General features: G+C 50.1%; 1 annotated feature.

Moving 5' to 3' along the window:
- Positions 350-1,248: an enhancer, noted in NCBI's record as "H3K27ac-H3K4me1 hESC enhancer chr1:113301747-113302645 (GRCh37/hg19 assembly coordinates)". NCBI's record gives its function as "activates a minimal SCP1, AML or CMV promoter by ChIP-STARR-seq in naive H9 embryonic stem cells {active_cell/tissue: H9 hESC(naive)}" and the evidence as "EXISTENCE:reporter gene assay evidence [ECO:0000049][PMID:30033119]".

Here is a 2,269-nt window from a genome sequence, read left to right on the forward strand (position 1 = left end):
CATGGACATAGGCTCATTCATGTGGGGTAGGGACTGGAAGGGGTGTGGACTCCACCGTGACATTTACCGAAGACATGAACTCAGCGAACATTGTAATTTGCTGATTAAAAATTTAATCCCCATCTTAAGGTCAGAAAACCGGGTACGAAGAAGTTGGCAGAAATTGGGGCTGGTGGGTGGGGAAGAGTGGAGCAAGTCAGTCTGCGTTAGCTGAGGGGAGGGGTTTGTCAGGCTGGTGGGGTTTGGGGGCAGAGTGTAGGGGGAAATTGAGGAGGACCCAGGAGCCCGCTGGCAGGGATAAGGATGGGGGCAGGACACATCTTCCTAAGGGAGCTGGGTGGGGTAGATACTCCCAGTCTATTCCCAGTTGCAGGAGACAGAAAGAGTCCGGACTTCAGAGTGAGATGGACCTGGGCTAGCATCTGGCTGTGTGGCCCTGGGGACGAGAGCCCTGCCCAATACAGAGTGATTACAACATGATAACGCTTCCTCCTACCAAAGTGCAGGGCTAGAATGGATCTTGGCCCATTTCTGAAAGTCTGACAAGAAAGAAAGAAGGAAAGAAAGAAGGAAAGAGAGAGAGAAAGAGAAAGAAAGAAAGAATTAAGAAAGAAAGAGAGAGAGAGAAAGAAAGAAAAGAAAAGAGAAAGGAAGAGAGGAAGCGAGAGACAGGAAGGAAGGAAGGGAGGGAGGGAGGAAGGAGAGAAAGAACGAAAGGAAGAAGGCCGGGCATGGTGGCTCATGCCTGTAATCCCAGCAACTTGGGAGGCCAAGGCGAGTGGATCACCAGGTCAGGAGTTCAAGACCAGCCTGGCCAAGATGGTGAAACCCCGTCTCTACTAAAAATACAAAAAAATTACCCGGGCGTGGTGGCGGGCGCCTGTAATCTCAGCTACGCAGGAGGCTGAGGCAGAGCGTTGCTTGAACCCGGGAGGCAGAGGTTGCAGTGAACCAAGATTGCGCCGCTGCACTCTAGCCTGGGTGACAGAGCGAGACTCCGTCTCAAAAAAAAAAAAAAAAAAGAGAAAGAGAGGAAGGAAGGAAGGAAGGGAAAGAAAGAAGAGAAGAGAAGAGAAGAGAAGAGAAGAGAAGAGAAGAGAAGAGAAGAGAAGAGGGGAGGGGAGGGGGCCGGGTGAGGTGGCTCACACCTGTAATCCCAGCACTTTGGGAGGCCAAGGCGGGCAGATCACCTGAGGTCAGGAGTTCGAGACCAGCCTGGCTAACATGGTGAAACCCTGTTTCTACTAAAAATACAAAAAATTAGCTGGGTGTGGTGGCGTGTCCCTGTAATCCCAGCTACTCGGGAGGCTGAGGCAGGAGAATTCACTTGAACCTGGGAGGTGGAGGTTGCAGTGAGCCAAGATCGCTCTATTGCACTCCAGCTTGGGCAACAAGAGCAAAACTCCGTCTCAAAGAAAAAAATAAAGAAAGAAGAGAGAGAGAGAGGAAGGAAGGAAGGAAGGAAGGAGAAATCTTCATTCTTCCTCTTTTCTTTCTCCATCTTTCACTATCTCCTCTTCTTCCTCCCCTTCCCCACCTCCCAGGCTTAATTCTGTAACTCAGGGGGAGGGAGAAAGACAAGCCGGGTGGTGGGAGCTAGGACACTGGCGGGCAGAGGGGAGGAAAGAAGGATTTGGGGTGGATGGGGTGGGAGCGAGGTTAGTGAGGACAGTGGCCCCGAGACCTCTCTCCTGGTTCTTATTTTGATCCCTCCCGATCGTCAAGTTGGTCTGCCATGCCCAGTCCAGGGACAAAAACAAACAAAGTGGTAATAATAATAATAATAATAATAATAATAATTAGTCCGGGTGCGGTGGCTCATGCCTATAATCCCAGCACTTTGGGAGGCCAAGGTGGGTGGATCACCTGAGGTTGGGAGTTCGAGACCAGCCTGACCAACATGGAAAAGCCCCATCTCTACTAAAAATACAAAATTAGCCAGGCATGGTGGCGCATGCCTGCAATCCCAGCTGCTCGGGAGGCTGAGGCAGGAGAATCGCTTGAACCCGGGAAGTGGAGGTTGTGGTGAGCCAAGATGGCACCATTGCACTCCAGCCTGGGCAACAACAGTGAAACTCCATCTCAAACAACAAAATAATAATAATAATAATAATTATTATTACAATTATAATGGCAACACTTGCAGAGTGCCTACCATGTGCCAGGCACTGTTCTACACTCTTTACTTGGAGTAACTTTTTTTTTTTTTTTGAGACAGAGTTTCACTCTTGTTGCCCAGGCTGGAGTGCAATGGTGCGCGCTCAGCTCA

The sequence above is a fragment of the Homo sapiens genome, chromosome 1 (assembly GCF_000001405.40).
Source record: "Homo sapiens chromosome 1, GRCh38.p14 Primary Assembly".
NCBI classification, from domain to species: Eukaryota; Metazoa; Chordata; class Mammalia; order Primates; family Hominidae; genus Homo; species Homo sapiens.